The 20,598-nt window shown below is 47.2% G+C and overlaps 1 long non-coding RNA gene across 1 annotated transcript, besides 5 other annotated features; it reads right to left on the bottom strand.

Annotated features, from left to right (window-relative positions):
- Positions 6,311 to 7,252: an enhancer, noted in NCBI's record as "OCT4-NANOG-H3K27ac-H3K4me1 hESC enhancer chr1:213102593-213103534 (GRCh37/hg19 assembly coordinates)". NCBI's record gives its function as "activates a minimal SCP1, AML or CMV promoter by ChIP-STARR-seq in naive H9 embryonic stem cells {active_cell/tissue: H9 hESC(naive)}" and the evidence as "EXISTENCE:reporter gene assay evidence [ECO:0000049][PMID:30033119]".
- Positions 7,253 to 8,195: an enhancer, noted in NCBI's record as "OCT4-NANOG-H3K27ac-H3K4me1 hESC enhancer chr1:213101650-213102592 (GRCh37/hg19 assembly coordinates)". NCBI's record gives its function as "activates a minimal SCP1, AML or CMV promoter by ChIP-STARR-seq in naive H9 embryonic stem cells {active_cell/tissue: H9 hESC(naive)}" and the evidence as "EXISTENCE:reporter gene assay evidence [ECO:0000049][PMID:30033119]".
- Positions 7,476 to 7,535: a silencer, noted in NCBI's record as "silent region_1808". NCBI's record gives its function as "represses an Ori minimal core promoter by ATAC-STARR-seq in GM12878 lymphoblastoid cells {active_cell/tissue: GM12878}" and the evidence as "EXISTENCE:reporter gene assay evidence [ECO:0000049][PMID:35858748]".
- Positions 15,399 to 16,198: an enhancer, noted in NCBI's record as "H3K4me1 hESC enhancer chr1:213093647-213094446 (GRCh37/hg19 assembly coordinates)". NCBI's record gives its function as "activates a minimal SCP1, AML or CMV promoter by ChIP-STARR-seq in primed H9 embryonic stem cells {active_cell/tissue: H9 hESC(primed)}" and the evidence as "EXISTENCE:reporter gene assay evidence [ECO:0000049][PMID:30033119]".
- Positions 16,115 to 19,380, bottom strand: LOC124904507 (uncharacterized). Its single transcript, XR_007066874.1, has 3 exons — positions 19,303 to 19,380; positions 18,117 to 19,143; positions 16,115 to 16,918 (listed from the first exon to the last, which is right to left on the bottom strand). It is a non-coding gene; the product is annotated as an uncharacterized LOC124904507 (long non-coding RNA).
- Positions 19,161 to 19,760: an enhancer, noted in NCBI's record as "H3K27ac-H3K4me1 hESC enhancer chr1:213090085-213090684 (GRCh37/hg19 assembly coordinates)". NCBI's record gives its function as "activates a minimal SCP1, AML or CMV promoter by ChIP-STARR-seq in primed H9 embryonic stem cells {active_cell/tissue: H9 hESC(primed)}" and the evidence as "EXISTENCE:reporter gene assay evidence [ECO:0000049][PMID:30033119]".

Genomic DNA, 20,598 nt, shown 5'->3' with positions numbered 1-20,598 from the left:
TCCATCTCAAAAGAAAAAAAAAAAGAATGCACTATTGAGGAGGCTTTTGGAGGCGTTGGGTTGGGTTGTACTTGCTCTCCTTGTAGTCCAGAGTTGTTGGTAAGGAAAAGACTGCTATGAAACTGGGTTTCCTATTGTTAGTGGAGATGATAAAAATCCCAGAATTGCAGGGGCCAGGTGGGAGCACTTCACCATAAAGGACAAGGCAGCCATACTTACCACAACAGACAGCAAGGTAGAGGGGCAATCAGGATGACCTTCTCTGCAGGGACTCATGGTGCTCGGCTAACATAGCATGGTGTTCCTAGGGGAAGGGTAACCACAGAATTTATTCTCCAAATTTGGTCACTGTTGAGAGCAAAAAGGAATGCTAGTCATGATTACACAGGAACAATGGGTAAATACCAGTGGGTGTAAACCAGGACCATCCCAATCAAACTGACACCTATGGTCACCCTACCAAGGGGTGAGGTAGAAACAGAAGGGGTAAGATATAAACACATATGTTAATATAAACATAATACATGGGTTTGCCTTTCCTGCCAGAGACTTCAGAAGTACCACCATCTGAGAGCTCATAGACACCTTATCCATTGACATATTAACCCATGTAACACTTCCTCCAAACAGGAGAGCTATTTTATGGTGAAAGAGGGAATGAAAATGGGCTGATGACCGTGGTCTACTGGCCTTACCATGTACCACACATGCAAGAGCAGCTGACCTGATAATATCGTGGAAAAGCCTGCTGAGACTCAGATAAGGCAAAGCGAGGCGACAACATCTCACAGGGTTGTGGCACAGTCCTCCAGGTTATTATACACTTTGAAATAAAGACCAATATATGGTACTAATCTGTAATGGCTAGAAAGAATGAATCCAGAAACCAAGGGATGGAAGTAGAAGTGGCCCCTTTCACTATTATACCCAGTGATACATTTGAGGAATTTTTGCTTTTTGTTTCCGGAACTTTGGACTCTGTTGTGTTAGAAGTTCTGGTTTCCCAGGAGATATCTCTGTGAGGGCACACACTGAGGTTCCACTGACCTGGAATCTGTAACTACTTACCTGGCTGCCTTAAGCACCGCAAGTCGGTGGGCAAAGAAAGGAGTTAAAGTACAATAATTATAATAATTGGCCAGGTGTGGAGACTCATGAATGAGCCTGTAATCCCAGCACTTTGGGAAGCCAAGATGGGAGGATTGCTTGAGCCCAGGAGTTCAAGACCAGCCTGGGAAATATAGTGAGACCCTGTTTCTACAGAAACATTAAAAAATTAGCTGGGCATGGTGGTGCACACCTATAGTCTTAGCCATTCAAGAGGCTGAGGCAGGAGGATCGCTTGAGAACAGGAGTGCAAGGCTTCAGGGAGCCATGATCATGCCACTGCACTCCAACCCAGGCAACAGACCAAGACCCTGTCTCCAAAAAAATTATAAAACCTTTAGCAGCCTGGATTATTCCTCTTGGATTGCAGGAAATCCAGGGGATTCACTGAGATACCTCCTAGTTGTTCCACTCCTGGTAAAGCAATTATAACTCAATAAGGGCTATTCAACTAAGAGCTTCAGATCCCCATCTCCTCCCCTAGATACGAAGATCATCCAATCAGGCAACCAATCTAGATGAATCAGCTGAAGTGTTGGACAAGAAGGAAGTCTAGCATGGGTGGTGGAGAAGGGAGATGATGAATATCAATTATAGCCTTAGGACCAGTAACAGTAGCTTGAATCAAGCCTTCTGTAGCTTGATGCATCTGTCTCTTCCATTAGGCCTTCCAGAAAATTGCAACTGCCCACAACCTTAAAGGGAACTTTATAAATAAATGGATTTGTATTTCCTCTCTTAGAAAAGAGGTAAAGAGTTTTTATTCTATTTTATTTTATTTTAAGGAATGGCAGCTCTATATTCTAATGTGGGAGCCATCTATAATGGAAAGGCATGCCTTCTACTCTGGGGCAGTGATTTATTTTTACCAGAATCAATATGCATAGCATATATGGGTTTGCTTTAATTGTCTACAGGGCTTCAACCAGCACCACCATCTAAAGCTTACAGAAGGTCCTATCCATTGGCATGTTACACCACACAACTTTTCTGATTGGTGAACGGGTAAGCTGTATTGGATATGTCTTCTGACATCTTCTCAGATTTCCTTGGCCTTGACTGCTGCTGTAGCCAACCAGCTCCACCCAGTCCCACTGCCCAGGCCCTTCTCTCTGGCTGCTGTTGTATAACCAGAGTGACTAGCTGGTGGATGTACTCTCTGGCTCCTCCTGCCACTTCCACACTTGGATAAAATACTATGCAACAGGATATGTAATCTGGCTTCTGAATGGCCACCAAAGTGTCTGAGTGTTGTCACCCAGAAGCATAAGGGTTAACTCCCTGTGGAGCAACCATTGGGAAACAGGAGATGGGAGGTTTATGAGGATAATTCCCTCACCTACCTCCATTGGTGGATTTCTCTTAGGCAGGGTTTCTCCATACAGCCTGTCCAAACACTTGCCACATGGTCAAGTGTGCACAACTGCCAAGCAACCTGCAGTGTCTTTTGAGGCTCATTATAAAGAAGAGGCCAGAATAGAAACCCACCACCATGCATGCTTCCAGTTTTCCTTGCCTCAGTTCTCTTTTTTCCTACTCTTGTTATTCTGAGTTAACACCCCCCAAATAAAGCATCAGCACTTAATCCTTGCTTCAGGCTCTATTTTTAGGGCAGTGTTTCTCAAATTTTGCATCCCCTAGGGGGCTCATTAAAATGCAGATTCTGATTCAGTGAGTCTGGGGTGAGGCCTATGCATCTACATTTCTAATAACTCTCCCAGATGCTGCTAGTTGAGGACCCCACTTTGAGAAGCAAGTTTTAGGGAACCTTGGTTAAGACATAGCCTTAAGAAAAAAAGTTGAAGGCTAGGGGGGCTCATGCCTGTAATCCCAGCACTTTGGGAGGCCAAGGCAGGTGGATCACCTGAGGCCAGGAGTTTGAGACCAGCTTGACCAACATGGTGAAACCCCATCTCTACTAAAAATACAAAATTACCCAGGCATGGTGGTGCATTCCCATAATCACAGCTACCTGGGAGGCTGAGGCAGGAGATTCACTTGAACCCAGGAGGCGGAGATTGCAGTGAGCCAAGATTGCACCATTGCACTCAGCCTGGGCAACGAGAGCAAAACTCCATCTCAAAAAAAAAAAAAAAAAAAGAAAGAAAGTTTTAAAATTATAGGTGAGTTAATTATTTAAATGAAAAACAAAGCTGGGTGTGGTGGTTCATGCCTATAATTCCAACACTTTGGGAAGCCAAGGCAAGCACATTGCTTGAGCCCAGGAGTTTGAGACCAGCCTGGGCAACATGGTGAAACACTGTCTCTACAAAAAAACATACAAAAATTAGCTGGGCGTGGTGGTGCATGTCTGTAGTCCCAGTTACTCGGGAGGCTGAGGTGGGAGGATCATCTGAGCCTGGGGAGGTTGAGGCTACAGTGAGCTGTGATGGTGCCACTGCACTCTAGCCTGGGTGACAGAGTGAGACCCTGTCTCAACGAAAAAAATAATAACAATAAACTAAAGAAAAACAAATGTAAAATTTTTAGAGGAAAATGACCCATGATCAGAAAAAATTATGGGGCAGAATTCTTCATAATAAGTATCAAAGCTGACTCTGTTTGCCCACGTAGGAAAAAAAAATATTTATTAAAGAATGCTGAGTAGCTCACAGAATTTCTGGTAGGACTAGAGAACTATGCTTTAGGCTAAGCTTCCAAGGTCAATATCCAAAACCACATTTCAGCACTGGACTGATGAGGAATTTCTGTTACCACCTTTGATTCTAGACCACACAACTTGCATTGCCTCCAAATTGACTTTGCTGGAGTGGCCCTTGCTGCCACCTCCAATGCCATTTCTGTATAGAGCTCCACCTAACACACTCAGTGGACTCTGAATTCCAGACTTTTCAGCCATCGGCCATTCTCACCAGATAAATAGATGTTTAGGGCAGAGCCTGTTTCCTCCCATTGCTTTGTTGTGGACCAGCATCCCACACAGGTGAAGTTAACTGGTGGAACCCAGGTAACTTATTTGTGCCCTACCTACAAAGAAGACTGGGAAGGGAGTTTTTTAGATTTTATCTTAGGGAAAAAAGACTCACATGGTGGGAAATTCCACAGACATAAAAAGAGTGTGTTCAAAAGAGGCTGCATCCCGTTACGGGGTTTTTATATGAAAAAAATACATTTAAAAAAAGAGGTTGCATAATTCTGAGACTATTCGAGATGTCTTATAGGATTGAACAAATAAATAAATATATTGATATTGTTGGGAGACAGTGTTCTCACTATGGAAGAAGAGATATACAAATATGGAATGAGGGGAAACAAAAAAAACAAAACCCTGTGGCTCTGAGTCAAGCAGCGGAAACAAATTTTTAAAGGAATTTAAAATTTAGAAAAAAAGAAACCCTGTAGGATGAATTGGAGTTGTAGGTATTGATAAGAACTCATTTCTAAAATATGTATATATGCATGTATTTATCTACATATTTATGCATGTTTGTATGTATTATATATGTACATTTACTAGTGCCATATGCTGAAACAGCCAAGAAGCAAAGATGCTCTAGTAGCAATGAGCAAGCCTGGAACCCATACTTTGGTTTTTAAATACCATTCCCCAGCTGTCAAAAAACAAAACAAAACCCAGGGCTCCTTGGTGAAATGGTCATTTCGAGGGCCAGGCGCAGTCTCACGCCTCTAATCCCAGCACTTTGAGAGGCCAAGGCAGGCAGATCACAAGGTCAGAAGTTTGAGACCAGCCTGGCCAACATAGTGAAACCCCATTTCTACTAAAAATCCAAAAATTAGCCGGGCATGGTGGTGGGCGCCTGTAGTCACAGCCACTCGAGAGTCTGAGGCAGGAGAATTGCTTGAACCCGGGAGGTGAAGGTTGCAGTGAGCCGAAATTGTGCCACTGCACTCCAGCCTGGCGACAGAGTGAGACTGCATCTCAAGAAAAAAAAAAAAAAGAAATGGCCAGTTCCATGGCTGGTGCAGGGTAAATACAAGATGAACCCAGATTGCCTTTGTATTAGGGCTCTCCAGAGAAAAAGAACCAACAGGTTATGTAGAGATAATATTAGAGGCTATTTATTATAAGAATTGGCTCACATGGTTATGGAGGTCAAGAAGTCCCATGCTCTGTTGTGCTCTGTTGTCTGCAAGCTGGCAAACAGGTAAAGCAAGTGGTATAATTCAGCCCGAGTCGGAAGGCCTGAGAATTGCGGAGCTGATAGTCTAAGTCCCTGTCTGAGTCCAAAAGTCCAGGAACCAGGAGCACTGACATCCAAGGGCAGGAAACAATGAATGACTCAGCTCAAACAGAGACAGAAGATTCACCTTCCCTCTAACTTTTGGTTTCACTCAGGCCCTCGGAGGATTGGATGATGCTACCCACATTGAAAAGGGCCAGGTGCTTTATTCAGTTCACTGATTCAAATGATAGTATTTTCCAGCAATAACTTCATGGACATACGCAGAAATAATATTTTATCAGCTATCTGGTCATCACTTATCCCAGTCAAATTGACACCCAAAATTAACTATCACAATCTTATTCTGTCAGAAATTAGCTGCTTAAAAAATAATAAGGGCATTTCACAAAGGCAGAAGGACAAAGAGTTAGCTTCCACTGCTCAAATCTGGGACACTTTCAGTACAAAATAACAACAGTAATGAATTACAAATCATTGGGAAAAAAATAGGAATTCATAAGTCCATATTGGTTATAAATGGATAAATAAATAAATTGGGAAAAAGGGAAGATCCTTGTGTAGAGTACAATGCCAGTGTGGAGAGAGTGCAGTGGTGCGATCTCGGCTCACTGCAAGCTCCGCCTCCTGGGTTCACGCCATTCTCCTGCCTCAGCCTCCCGAGTAGCTGGGACTACAGGTACCCGCCACCACACCCAGCTAAGTTTTTGTATTTTTAGTAGAGACGGGGTTTCACCGTATTAGCCAGGATGGTCTTGATCTCCTGACCTCGTGATCCACCCACCTCGGCCTCCCAAAGTGCTGGGATTACAGGTATGAGCCACCGCGTCCAGCCCAAAACTGCATATTTTAAAACTGTCACTGCAATAAAAGACAAAAGCTGTAGAAATGTTTCAAACTGAAGAAGACTGAAGAGAGATAACTGAATGTAATAGATAACCATAGACTGGATCCTGACCTGCAGGAAAAAATATAAATGATATTATTTGATCAATTGACAAAAATTGAAATATACATATTAGATTAGATTAAAAGTATTGTATCCATGTTAACTAATAACTATCCATTTATTAACGACATTGGTGATATAAGAGAATATTCTTAGTCGTAGGAAATACACACTGAAATATATAGAGAAAAAGGGGCATGATATTTGCAACTGGGTAAAGGGTATATGGGTGTTCTTTGTACTATTCTTATTCTTGCCTCTTTTCTGTAAGTTTTAAATTATTTCTGAAAAGGTTTTTTTGTTTTTGTGTTTTTTTTGAGACAGAGTCTCTCTCTGTCACCAGGCTAGAGTGTAGTGGTGCGATCTCGGCTCACTGCAACCTCTGACTCCCTGGTTCAGGCGATTATCCTGCCTCAGCCTCCCAAATAGCTGGGATTACAGGCACACGCCACCACACCCAGCTGATTTTTTGTATTTTTAGTAGAGACGGGGTTTCACCATGTTGGCCAGGATGGTCTCGATCTCCTGACCTCGTGATCCGCCCGCCTCAGCCTCCCAAAGTACCGGGATTACATTCTTGAACCACGGTGCCCGGCCTTCTGAATGAAAAGTTTTAAAGTATGGGGACTGAAAATACATAATAAATATCCACTATAATAACCTCGTGAGATACATATTATTATTTCTGTTTTACAAAAGAAGAAACTGAGGTTTAAAAAGTTAGGTAACTTGCATGGTAATGTAACTAGTAAGTGTCAGAACTGGGAATTAGACCTAGATCATTTCAATATAATTATTTCCTTTTTCCTTTTCTTTCTTTTCCTTTTTAATAGCAGGAAGAACATAGATTTAAGTGGTAATAACAGACACTTCCCAGATGTCCTGATGATCAAAGACTTTGTACTGCCCTGTTACTTCAAACTTTTGCCTCCAAGGGAAGTGGCTGGAATTTCAGATTCATCTACATCTCTGACCTATCTCTTGGAGGGGGGGATGACAGAGGAGGGGGAAAATGGCAGAGAATAAGAAACTAAATGACCACGGCCAGGGGAAAGAGCCAAATTAGCATCTGAATAATCCACTGGAGAGCCTCGGGCCTGGATAATGGTCCTTCCTGCAGGTTTAGGGTTCTAGGGTGCTTTGAGGACATTTGGCGAGAGGGAGCAGAAATTTAAGCCTTTCTTGGATGACAGCTCCTCTTTGTCCAGAGAAGAGGATCATCTGCTGTAAAAGAACTGCATTCTCTTACAATGGCAGCCTTCAGGGAGAAACCTGCTGTCACCTTTTTAACAGTGCAGCCGCAGGCTCTGTGCCTGGCCTTCCTAGGAAAGCAGCCATCCTGCAGCTGCTCGGCCCTGGCCTCTGCGGGGGTTTCCTGGACAGATTTATACAGAGGGGAGCTGTTGCTCAGATGCCTTGGGACAGCAGGGGTGGTGTGTGGAAGTTCCCCTTTGGGCTCCCTGGCACTTCAGAAAGACAAAAATGAAATGAGCTTAGTAAGATAGCATCTTTATTCCAACGGAAATGAGAACACACTGCTACAGGCCTGTCCAGTCAGATGAGCAAGACCTCAAGCAGTTAAGCTGGGGGCATGGCATTGGGATTGTACAGGAGCCAGGCTGGGGAGTTTCCAAAGGTCCAGGAACCTGCGTGCTGTGAAGGGAGCTATACCTGCTCATCTCAGCTCAGCCTGGAATGTCCTGGGCAAGGCAGGTAGCAGTCCCTACCTATTTAGTGAATGCCGGAGGATTTGTATTATGAATAGTCAGCAAAATTAGAGTCGGAAACTCTTGCCTGAGCACAATGGGTGCATCCCCTTCATGTCCAGCCACTGGACAGCATTATCTGAATTCAGACTTCTCCACTATTCCCCAGAAAACTATATACAGCTCAGATTCCTCCTGTATCAGTCAGGAGGCAAGCAGGGTGCAGGTGGAACTCTGAAAAGGGTGTAAGTGAAATAAACTTGTGAAGGGAATGTTAACAGAGGTATAGGCAGGATGAAGGGAAACACCAAGGATGGTGAAGCATCCAGGACTGGAAACATCTGGAAAGCTCTCCCACTGAGGCCTGGAGGAGCCAGCAAGGTCAGGAGCCCCAGGAGCCCAGCCCCCTGAGGGCAGCCTCCCGTGCACAGAGCAGGGAAGAAAGTGGATTTGGGGAACAGACAGAGACTACCTCATGCATCCCCAATCTTCAGGACACTGGCACATACCCCATGCCTTCTGGGGGTGTTTCACTCAGAGATAAAAGGGAAAAACAGATCAGACGTCACAGAACCAAATAATACGTGAGGGAAAACAAGACATTGGTGCGTTCAGACTGTCAACGCCAGCACATTCAGAGGCTGAATCCACTCCTGGATGTACTACTGGATTGAGACCAGGAGCCCACGGCTCTATAGGAAGGGGGTCCAACCTTCTTTCTTGATCCTCCCTGAGCATCCGATTTGAGGAATGGGTTCAGCATTAGAAGTGTGCCAACAGACTGGGCACAGTGGCTCACGCCTGTAATCCCAGCACTTTGGGAGGCCAAAGGCGGGCGGATTACTTGAGGTCAGGAGTTCGAGACCAGCTTGGCCAACATGGTGAAACGCTGTCTCTACTAAAAATACAAAAATTAGCCCGGTGTGGTGGCAGGCACCTGTAATCCCAGCTACTCGGGAGGCTGAGGTGGGAGGATCACATGAGTCCAGGAGGTATAGGTTACAGTGAGCTGAGATGGTGCCACTGCACTCCAGTCTGGGTGACAGAGGGAGAATCTGTCTAAAAAGAAGGAAACGTGCCAACAGGTCTTCCTTAATCATAACACTTTCCTAGGCCTCATGAAAGATGGCAGCTATTTGGGGAGCAGAGTGAGTGCCCAGGACAAATACATGTTTTGACAGAAAAGGTGCTGCAAAAAGCTCAGGAGGAAACCCTTCCCCTCGATATGACCAGTATGTATTATTGCTGAGATTCACCAAGAACGTACTGCATGCCAGACATTGTTCCCCGTGCTTCTCACGGACTCACTCCATCTTCACACAGCCTCCCTAGGAAAGGGGTGCTGTTGTGTGTCCTCCCCTACCCCACATTCATGCGTTGAAGCATTAACCCCCAGAGCAACTATATTTGGAGGTGGACCCTCTAGGGTTGTAATTACGGTTAAGTGAGGTCATAAGGGTGGAGCCCTGATCCAATAGGATTAGCGTCCTTATAAGAAGAGACACCACAAAGCACTTTCTCTCTCTCCTCTAACTGTGCCTCTCTTTCTATCTCTCCCTCACACTCTGTCTCTCCACACACACACCATGTGAGGACATAGTGAGAAGGTGGCCATCTACGAGCCCGGAAGAGAGCCCCCACCAGAAGCCAAACTTGCCAACACCTTGATCGTGGATTTCTGGCCTCCAGAACTGCGAGAAAGTAAATGTCTGTTGTTTAAACCACTCAGTCTGTGGCACTTTGTTATGGCAGCCTAATACAAGCACTATCAATATTCCTCATTTATTAACGAAGAAATTGCATCATAGGGAAGCTAAGTATGATGCATCATAGGGAAGCTAAGTCAAACTCACCCATTTGCCTTAGATTTTGGTCTCTGCATCTCTCAGGGTCCTGCTTTTCTTACAGGAAATGGGTTGGTAGAAATAGATCAGGGGTCGTAGCCTCAGATGTCAACTGGGAGGCAACAGATAACAGAAACAAGCGAAGTTGTCTGCACAGGGGTGTGGCAAACTGGAGAGGGCAGTCCCCCTTAGAAAGAGACAGCCTCCAGCCAGGCGCCGTGGCACACGTCTGTAATCCCAGCACTTTAGGAGGCTGAGGTGGGCAGGTCAACTTGAGGCCAGGAGTTAGAGACCAGCCTGGCCAACAGTGAAATCCTGTCTCTACTAAAAATATAAAAAATTAGGCTGGGCATGGTGGCGCACACCTGTAGTCCCAGCTACTCAGGAGGCTGAGACACGAGAATCACTTGAGCCTGGGAAGTGGAGGTTGTAGTGAGCCGAGATCATGCCACTGCACTCCAGCCTGGGTGACAGAGTGAGACCCTGTCTCAAAAAAAAAAAAAAAAAAAAAAAAAAAAAAGAGATGCAGCCTCTAGTCAGCGTCAACCAATCGCTGGCCAAGTGCCTCATGTTCTCAGAGCTACACTTTTTCAAGACATCTGGATCTTTTTAGGAAGTATTTAGGTTTTTCAACTGTTAGCAAGAAATTCCATCACAAAACAGTGTACAAGCCAATGAAGACACATCTATGGGACATCTCAGTGTGCAGTGGCCACTTTGTCCTTTCTGGGCTAGATTATTTTTCTATACACCTTTCTCTTCCTGCCTCTTCCCTCAGCCATCATTCTCTGCTTTCAGTATCGTCCTTCCTTCCTTCCTTCCTTCCTCCTTCCTTCCTTCTTTCCTTCCTCCTTCCTTCCTTCCTTTTCTTTCTCTTTCTTTCTCTTTCTCTCTCTTTCTCTCTTTCTTTCTCTTTCTTTCTTTCTCTTTCTTTCTGTCTCTCTCTTTCTCCCTTCCTTTCTTTCTCTTTCTTTCTTTCTTTCTTTCTTTCTTTCTTTCTTTCTTTCTTTCATTTCCTTTCTTTCTTTCTTTCTTTCATTTCCTTTCTTTCTTTCTTTCATGGAGGCTCACTCTGCTGCCCAGGCTGGAGTGCACTGGTGTGATCTCGGCTCTCTGCAGCCTCCGCCTCCCAGGTTCAGGTGATTCTCCTGCCTCAGCCTTCCAAGTAGCTGAGATTACAGGTGCCCCCCACCACGCCCAGCTGATTTTTGCATTTTTAATAGACATGGGGTTTCACCATGTTGGCCAGACTGGTCTTGAACCCCTGACCTCAGGTGATCCGCCTGCCTCGGCCTCCCAAAGTGCTGGGAGTACAGCCGTGAGCCACCATGCCCAGCCATGATTGGCAAAGTTCTAAAAGGCAGCAGGGGATGTTCTACTCAGCCCAAGGGAATGGCTGGGAGGTGAAGAAATTGTCAGGAAACCGTGAGAGCAGCAGTGATCTCAGCCCTGGAAGATAGGCACAAAACAGCCTCCTCCTCTGCTCCTGAGGGATTGGGAGGCATAATCAGTAAGAGTGTTTGTAATAACACACTCAAAGTCCTACTCACTGCTTAACAGCTGCGTGCAGAAATTCCAGTGGCTCCATTTTTAGTTGGGGCTAATGAGGGTTAAAAACTCTCCAGGCTGCCCAAAATACCCTCAGCAAGGCTCCCCAAGAGGGGTTTTATTTACCACACTGCTGATTAAGGAACAGTTTATCTACTCTGGATCATCTTTCACCAAAGCCTTTATCAGTGTGTTGTTTTGGCTGCTGATGGTTTGTTTTATTTTTTAAATAAATGAGAACAGATTATTTGTGTTCCAAGGCCATGACTCAAGTTAGCTGTTTGCCAGCTGTGAGGGAGACAGAGCCGGATCCTCTGGGGCCAGCCCTCCCTTTGCAGAGCTGGAGGGAAGTCACAAGGATGAAGGAGTGAAAAATGAGGAGTCAAAAATTCACTTATTTCCAGGTCTTGCTGGGGAGCAGCTCAGTGGGGCAGTGATGATCTGGGGAGGACTAGCCCAAAGAAGAATGAACGGGCTAGAGGCCAGGTGGAGGAAGGAAGGCCAGAAACAAAGTGGCAAGGGACAAAGAGGTAGAGCAGAGGGAGGCATCCAAGGAGGTGCATCATCGGAGACTTCTCCAAGAAACGGAATACATCAATGCACAGGATTTTATTTTATTTTTCAGATGGAGTCTCGCTCTCTCACCAAGCTGGAGTGCAGTTGCACGATCTTGACTCACTGCAACCTCTGCCTCCTGGGTTCAAGCGATTCTCCTGCCTCAGCCTCCCGAGTAGCTGGGACTACAGACACGTGCCACCACGCCCAGCTAATTTTTGTATTTTTAGTAGAGACGGGGTTTCACCATGTTGGCCAGGATGGTCTCGGTCTCTTGACCTCATGATCCACCCACCTTGGCCTCCCAAAGTGCTGGGATTACAGGCTTGAGCCACCGCCCCCAGCTATGCACAGGATTTTAAAGGGAGGACAGAACTGAGCAGAGGGGAGGACCTCAGTGAAGCTGCACTTTCTGCTGGATTCAAACTAAATCTACTCTGGGCAGATCAAGGAAAAGCTTGAAGGATGTGACTTAAGGAAGAACTTTCTACTGAAAGAGCCAGGAGACCCTAAAATGCATTTTCTGAACAGATAATGGAGATGCCTTTTGGGTAGAGAGCAGCACTCACTGGATTTGGGGTCAGCCCTGTCAATAACCCATGGAGAATCCTGGGCATGCCCCTCCCCTCTCTGAAGTTGGGTCCATAAAAGGAGGGGACTGAAAGACATCCCTTCTTCTAAAGCTTGGCCGCACATTAGCATCACCTGGGAGCTGCTAAAAATCCCCATGCTTAGGCTGCAACCTAGACAGTTTCTATCAGAATCTTTAGGAGTGGGGTCCACAGCTGGAATACTGTACATGATCAAGTCTGAGACTTGCAGAGCTAGATGGTATCTAAAGGTCTCCATCAGCCCTGACATTCATTAAGTTTTTTTTTTTCTTTTTTTGAGACGGAGTTTCACTCATGTCGCCCAGACTGGAATAAAGTGGTGTGATCTCAGCTCACTGCAACCTCTGCCTCCTGGATTCAAGCAATTCTCCTGCCTCAGCCTCCCACATAGCTGGAATTACAGGCACCCACCACCATGCCCAGCTAATTTTTGTATTTTTAGTAGAGATGGGGTTTCACCAGGCTGGTCTCAAACTCCTGACCTTAGGTGATCCACCTGCCCCGGCTTCCCATAGTGCTGGGATTAGAGGCGTGAGCCACCGCACCCGGCCTCATTAAGTCTTTAAGAAAAGGAAAGAGGGGGTGGCTGGCAGGTAGTCCTCAGTAGAAGCAAAGCATGGACCAAATGGCTTCTTGAGTGTTCCACGGTCCATAAGATTCAATGATTTGAGACCCTGAGTAGATGGGAACTTGCTGCCAAATTCCAGCCAACTGTTTCTCTCCATTAATTCACTCTACAAATATTTATTGAGCATCTACTATGTGCCTGGCACTGTTGTAGGCTCTCTCCTTTGTTCAACTATTGACTCTCTCCTTTGTTCAACTATTGGGAGAGACCTGAAACCACAAAGTTAAAGAAGAGTGCAGGGTGGTGCAGAGAATGGGAGGGAAAGGGAAATTTGGGAATGTGATTCACATGGAGTTTTTCAAACTTATACATTATTTGCTCAAATCCCTAAGGTTACTATGGACCTGTCCTTGTCCCATTAATCTCATTTTCCTTTCCTCCTTCAACTCTGGGGTCATATATATCTGAATTTAGCAAGCAACAGTAGGGTCAGAAAAATTCTGCTCCCTGATCCCAAATTCACGCTCCCAGGTATATATCAGGTCTTCCCAATTGAAACACGAGCTCCTCACAGTTGAGGATTGGGCCTTGCGTCTTTGGGGAGCAGATGGTGTAGTTTAGCATGTGAGGGCTAGAGACAGATGGCCTCTTACTAGAGACTATCGCTGTGTGACCTTGGTCACAATACCTAACAGCACCCCGCCACCTAACTCAGCTTGCATCTGCAAAACAGGGATTGTAATAGCACCACCTTTTACTAACCATTAGATTGTTGTGAAGAGAATTGCCTGAATTAATACAGGCAAAGCAGTTACTAACAAAGGCTGGCACATGATCAACGCTCAGTTTGTGGTGACTGTTATTATCCTGGAGCAGAAGATGTTAAATGTACTTGTGATGAAGCTAATGAAGTATGGTGGTATCTGCTCTTTCTCATTTCACATCAGAGCATGGGGCGGATATGTTGGTTAAGGTAATGGCAGATGCTGTAAGAGGTAGGCTCTGAAATCCCAGTGGCTTCATTCAATAGGAGTTCACTCTTCTCTCATGTAAAGTCTGATGGGCCTGGGGAGGGGGTGCTGGGCTCCATGCAACCATTTAGGGTGCCGAGGTACCATCATCTTCAAGGCATGAATCCCGAGGCATCCCAGGGCTTTGACATCCCAGTGACACACCACATGAGGGAGTGAGTGCAGAGTCACACGGAAGGCTTCTGCAGGCCAGGGAGTGGCATCACTTCCACCCACATCCCACCAACCAGAACTCAGTCGTATGCCACAGGCGCCTGGGAAAGGTACCCAGGAGGAAGTGCAGAAAGGGCTGAATCTTATGTTCCCCCAAAATTCACATGTTCAGCTCTAACCCCCAATGTGAAAGTAGGGAGAGGTGGGTTTCTTAGGGGGTCATGAGGGATTAGTGCCCTTATAAAAGGGATCCCAGAGAGCTGGCTAACCCCTTCTACCACGTGAGGAGGCAGCAAGAAGCCACTATGAGGAATGGGCTGTCATCAGACACCAAAGCTGCCAGCAACTTGATCTTGGACTTCTCAGTCTCCAGAACTGCGAGAAATAAATGGCTAGTGTTTATAAGCCACCCAGTTTATGGTATTTTTGTCATAGCAGTCCAAACAGACTAAGACAGGGGCCTCTAGGACTCGGCCTCCAGGATCTTCTTAGTGGGCCAAACTGTCTCCCATCTCAGGCGCCCAGACCCATGGTGGCTGTCCTGTCTGCAACTTGCTCTAGGACCACTATCCATGTGTAGGGTTCACTCCTCCTGTCTCCTTCTTCTCCAGCCTTCTCCAGTTACTTTTCTCCTCTTCCTATTCTCTCTCCGAGGGCATCTACCCTCTATTGAGCTCCTGTGGTTGGAGAAAGGTTCATTGTTTGGCCATGGAGGCCTCTGGTGGCAAGGTTCCCTAGGGATTTAGCAATAAGGGATGTTGAAGGGTGGAGGTGGTAGAGGAACCTTCCAGGGAGGAGAGCCGTGGCCACTTCCACCTGCTTCCTGTGAGACCAGGAGAGCAAAATCCCAGGCTGCCAGGCTCCCAGGAGACTGCAGGGGATCTTAGCCTCTGATGATCTCCCTGATCCGCAGCAGCCATATCGCCAAGGAACTTAGGAATGCAAACTCTCAGCCCCAAACCAGCTAAATCTGAAATTCAGCTCCGAAAAGTCAGTAACCTGCCCCAAGTCACACGGCAAGTAAGGGACAGGACAAAAGCATTTGAACAAGATTTTCAGATGATTGGGGTGCACGCAGGTCTGACAGTCTCTGCTGTAGGAATGGATGGGGCCCACGGGAAGGGTGCAAATGGGAAAGTGCTTCTTACTGTCCTCCAGTGGCCATAAAGTGAACAACAGTCAAGCCTCCAGCTCTGGGGACAAACTTGGGGTTGAGGTGGCAGCAATGACAACACGTAGATTAGGAAGCAAATTCTAGAAGGCACTGGGAATCCCACAGTGCCCAGCATGGGGCTTACCTGGGTCTGCCTCTTGGACAGTTTTTAAGACTTGAATTAGAGTCCAGCCCGGAGCCAGACCCAAAGTCTGTTTCCAGAAGGGTGAACCCACCTACATTTACATTTCATAGGGACCAGGCACAGCTGGCTGGAAGAGGCATCTGTGGTTGGACCGATGAACCCAACAGGGTCCAGGCTTTAAGATGCTACCATCATCCTCAGGGGGTACCAAGGCAGGCAGAGTCCCCTCTTCCCTGGGAGAGCACAGAACTCCAAGCTAGAGGTGCAGAGTGGAGATCGGGATGTGAGGGAGGAGGAGCAGCAAAGCCACTGCCCGGCTCATCCAGAGGAAGGATGGATGGGGGCCCCTGTAGCAGCATGCGGCAGCTCGGCCACCATGAGCCCCAGATGCCAGTGCCCAGCCCTCTGAGCCTGGGATGGTGGTCCTTGGATGCCCCACTGTTCTTCTGGGTGCACCACGTGGGCCACAGACCCTCAGAGTACAGATCACTCAAAAGCAAGGTGGTTTTTTAAAGATACATTTCCGGCCACAGACTTGAAAGTACCTAACAGTCATTAAAATAAACATGAGAAAGCATGAATGGATCTGTGCTTTAAACTTTATTCAACACAAAATCGTCATCAGAGAGCCTGACATAGATAACCTCAGGTTCTTTCCGGGTATCTGACTCAGGAGTCGGTGGATATGGCATGCTGGACTTTTTGCCTTGCCAGAAGATCCCAAGGACCCTCCAGTTTGGGAATCACCAGTCTGGCTATCATCATCATCATAACCAGAAGCCCGGAGTGTCCACCTCTCTACCCTGGTGTATCTTCCCCAGCCCCTGTCACTGGCCACATCCTCACTGTGAGGCCCCAAAGATGAGGTGGGCACAGAAAGGGGGGCACCTTGAGGGCACCAGGGCAGCTGCCCAACAGGTTGGCTGCAAAAGACCTCTCTTGAGGGTCTGCACAGGCCCCGGCTCCATGGAGTAATCCAGGCAATCGTGTCTCAGGCCTTGGGAGGCAGAAGAGCCAGCAGCAGTTCCATGCCAGGTGGAAGGCAGCCTACATCTGATGCCCTCAGGCTGGTCATCAGTGCGGACTCCTTCTTGGAGACATCCCTCTGTTTTGTGGGGATAGACTGGCACCTGCCTGAGGCTGAGGCTGCTGCCAGCCACTCCCTGCTCAAGGTTGATCTGACCTTCTCTTTCCCAAGGAAGCCGAATGAGACAGCAAAGGCCTCCCCTGGGAATCTCAAGAATGGGGCCCTCGTTCCGACTCCATTCTTTTCTAGCCATGCATCTTTTGGTAAGCCTGGGTCTGAGTTTACTTTTCTGCAAAATGATTGGTTGAGTGAGGCTCCAGGCTTCTTTATAGGAGGCACTTATGAACACCAATGTACCCTAAAGAAGGGGAGTAGGGTGCTAGAAAAGGGCCTGAAAGCACAGGCACACTCTTTTGCTTAGATTTTTTTTTTTTGGCTTTGCCATTTCTTTTTATTACAGATTGTTTATTATTTTTACAACAACACATCTGGTACAGGTGAGTCTTCAGTTCTTCAGAGAAATAGTATGAACATCAAATGCAAACAATATTATTCTATTTATGATTTGTTTTCATAATTGAATACTAGGTCATGATAAAATTGCTGACATTTAGGCAAACTCAGTATAAAATAGACATTTCAAACGTTTAGGTATAGCCCAACAAGATATCTCAGTAGACTTATCTTTTGCTTAGATTATAGGCTAACTAGAGATGGCTCGGGAGCCTTGGGGACTGGGAACCAGGGCAATACTGAGCCCCTCCCAGACATCTCTTGGTGCTGCCACTGGTTACGTGGCTCAAAGCCTGCCTCCCTCATGGGGTGGTTGCAATGGTCAAATGAGATCATGCAGATGAAGATGAGGCCCTTCAGGAACTGTCATCCTCTCCACAGATGGAGCATATGCTTAGCCCCTCCTACAGTAGGACTGCAACCCTCTAGCCAAGAGCCTGACCAGCATTGCTTACTGATGGCATAGTGAATGATGTCCCCTGGGACCCCTTCTGCAGAAGAGCCACCAATGAGCACTTTCCCAGACCTGCACCATGCACCAGCTGGGCTTCTTCCCAAGCCAGGGACTTTGTCAGATCTGCCAAGCCCCCTAGAGCACTATTTGCAGGAGGAAACTCCCTACTCATCAACAGCCCAGGTGGTCCTCCAAATAGGTGGCCACAGCCTTCGAAGGCTTGAGGGCTTTATTCTAAGGGGTCAGTAGTCCTCAAAAGGTGACCACTGCCCAATTATTGCAGGAACATGGGGATGCTGGTGAAAAATGAAATTCCAGGGCCCCATCCTGGGTCTAAGGAATCCATTTTTGGGAGTGAGCTTGAGCGATCTGTGTCTTTTTTTTTTTTTTTTTTTTTTAATTATAAGCACTCCTGTTTATTGTTGTGCACACTAAATTTGAGTTTTGGAAAGGAACCGTTATGAGATCTGGTCCCCTGTCCAGAAGAGACTTCTTGTGAACCATTCAAATTCCAGAGAATCTTTCCCATTTCTCAAGAGCCCACCTTATTTTGGAGGATAAGGAAGTGACAGGAATGCATAAAACTTACCAGCCAAGTGTCCTTTGGGAACAGTCAGCTCAGACAGTGCAGGAAGAAAACCTGAGATCGAAAGGAAGACTGGGGAGGTCAGGTCCTCCTGCACTTGCAGCTTTTGCTAAGGGCAGAAACTCCTGTCTGTGGTAAAAGATAGAAAACTAGAGGAGTTCTCACTAGGGGGACTGGTGGGTGCCCCATCAGACTCGGCCCAAATTTCAGCTCCGCCATGCCATTTCCTCCGTCACTCCCTCCCCAGCACACCCACCCCTCTGCAGAGCCGTCCTCACTAATGTGCCACACATGCCGTGTGGCCCCTCCTTAGCACTTTCTCACCTTTGAAGTTCTCCACATGTCTGTCCTCACTAAGCTAAAAGAGCTAGCATGAGGTCCTGCTTGGCTCTGCAACCCCAACCCCTGGCCCAAAGTGCTGTTAGATGTGTGTTGAATGAATAAATGAACCAATTCCATAATCAACTTGTGGGATGAACATCCAAAGGAGAGAATCAATTTTAAGAAATAATTTAAAGACAGAAAGAAGGTCGGGCGCGGGGGCTCACACCTGTAATCCCAGCACTTTGGGAGGCCAAGGCGAGTGGATCACCAGAGGTCAGGAGTTCGAGACCAGCCTGGCCAACACGGTGAAACCCCATCTCTATTAAAACTACAAAAATTAGCCAGGCGTGGTGGCAGGTACCTGTAATCCAAGCTACGTGGGAAGCTGAGGCAGGAGAATTGTTTGAATCCGGGAGGCAGAGGTTGCGGTGAGCTGAGATCACGTCACTGCACTCCAGCCTGGGCGACAGAGCGAGATTCCATCTCAAAAAAAAAAAAAAAAAAAAAAAGAGAGAGAGAGAAAAAAAGAAAAAAGAAGTATTTATCATACAACCCATTATCTTTATAAATAACATAGTGAAAACAAACAAATCAAGGAAGGGTTAGATGAACCCATCATCCATAGTTCTAGAAGCGAATAATTCAGGGAAGTAGTGTCCTGTGAGTCTGGCCCAGCGTGGCAGTCCTGGGGATCTCTAGGTAATTCCTGGAGCAAAAAAAAAAAAAAAAAATTAAGACAATGAACGTCTGTCTTTCATGCCTCTGCTCTCTCAGAAGAACGAGGGCTGTGGTTGAAACCTAGGAATGCTCCCTGTTGGAAGCGGTGGATCTCCTGTGCAGTCTGCGGGGCAGAGCCTCTTCTCACCTTCCCTGCGTCTTCTCTTTTTTGCTGCTCCCTCACTTGGTGGCCATCCCGGGACTGCATGGAGCGGGTGTCAGTGCTGCCTTCACTGGGTGGGAAGTCACTTTTATTACCTCCAGGCCAGGTTTTCCAACCCGCCTTTCCCTATCCTCCACTCCCTTCTCACATCCACCATGTCTTCCGTTTCTGAATTGCCCCAGAGGATAGGGGAGGGGAGGAAGGTAAGCGTAGAGTAGGGAAGAGTGCTGTGCAGGCCCAGCGCCAGCCACTCTCGAGGAATCAGCCCGGCCCTTGCGGGGGCGCCCGTGGGTGGCTGAAGTTTGTTTCTCCACAGAAGCAGACGCCAGTGGCTTGTGGCTTCCACAGTCTGGAGACGGCCTCGCAGCACCATCTGTGTTCCTTCCCCACCACAGTCACAGATGCACCCACGGGTTTGGAACAGCCGGGCTGCCCGAGAAACCGAATCTCTATATTGTTCCTCTTCATGGGGGAAATACAAAAGCCTTCCGTAAAGAAAAGAACAGCCGGGTCATCTTTCCAGTCAGGCCAGAGGGAGTGTTTCTGGGACAGCCCGGGAGCCACGGTGGAGAGAGGCAGTGGCTGTTCTCGGCTGCCTGGGGCAGCTACTGCAGGGCGATGCCTTCAGGGTATAGTCCCAAAACAGCAGCTCCAGCAAGATCCCAGGGTTCTTCGGGACCTTGTTAGGAATACAAAGTCTTGGGTCCCGCCTCAGACCTACTGTGTTCCTACAGGCCTTCCGGGTGATTCCAAGTTTGGGAACCTCTGGGTTAAGGGATGCCATGGAGCGAGTCCTTGGCCCTGGGGTGCGAGGCAGAAGCTGGGGTACTGGAGATCATGCTGGGGCCTCCACTCACAGACCTCATCCATTTACCCCAGTGTTGCAGAAATACATAGTACTCGTGTGTGTGTGTGTGTGTGTGTGTGTGAGAGAGAGAGAGAGAGAAAGAGAGAAAGTCGTGTCCTTTTCTCCCTGAGAAGCATACAATGGGGGAGAAATGCTGAGGATTGGTGCTTTCACTCTTCCAGGCACAGGCGAGCATCTATCCCGACTTGGAGAGCTTGTTTTCACAGATTCCCAAGTAACCTGGCTCCGAGGCTAACACCGTGTCCAAATCCTGTTGCCCCACGTGCATCTGCTGTTTGAGTGCAGGGCCACCATTTCTTGCTTGTTCATCCCCAGGGACTGGGAATGGAGAAAGCATGCGGGTGTGGCTGAGGGGTTCCTGTGGAAGGGAACCCCTCACTGGGCCACTGGGTGGGGCCTGGAGCAGCACAGCC

The sequence above is a fragment of the Homo sapiens genome, chromosome 1 (assembly GCF_000001405.40).
Source record: "Homo sapiens chromosome 1, GRCh38.p14 Primary Assembly".
In the NCBI taxonomy this organism is placed as follows: Eukaryota; Metazoa; Chordata; class Mammalia; order Primates; family Hominidae; genus Homo; species Homo sapiens.
The sequence above is the reverse complement of the archived record's forward strand: the minus strand, read 5'-3'. Positions and strand labels throughout refer to the sequence as shown.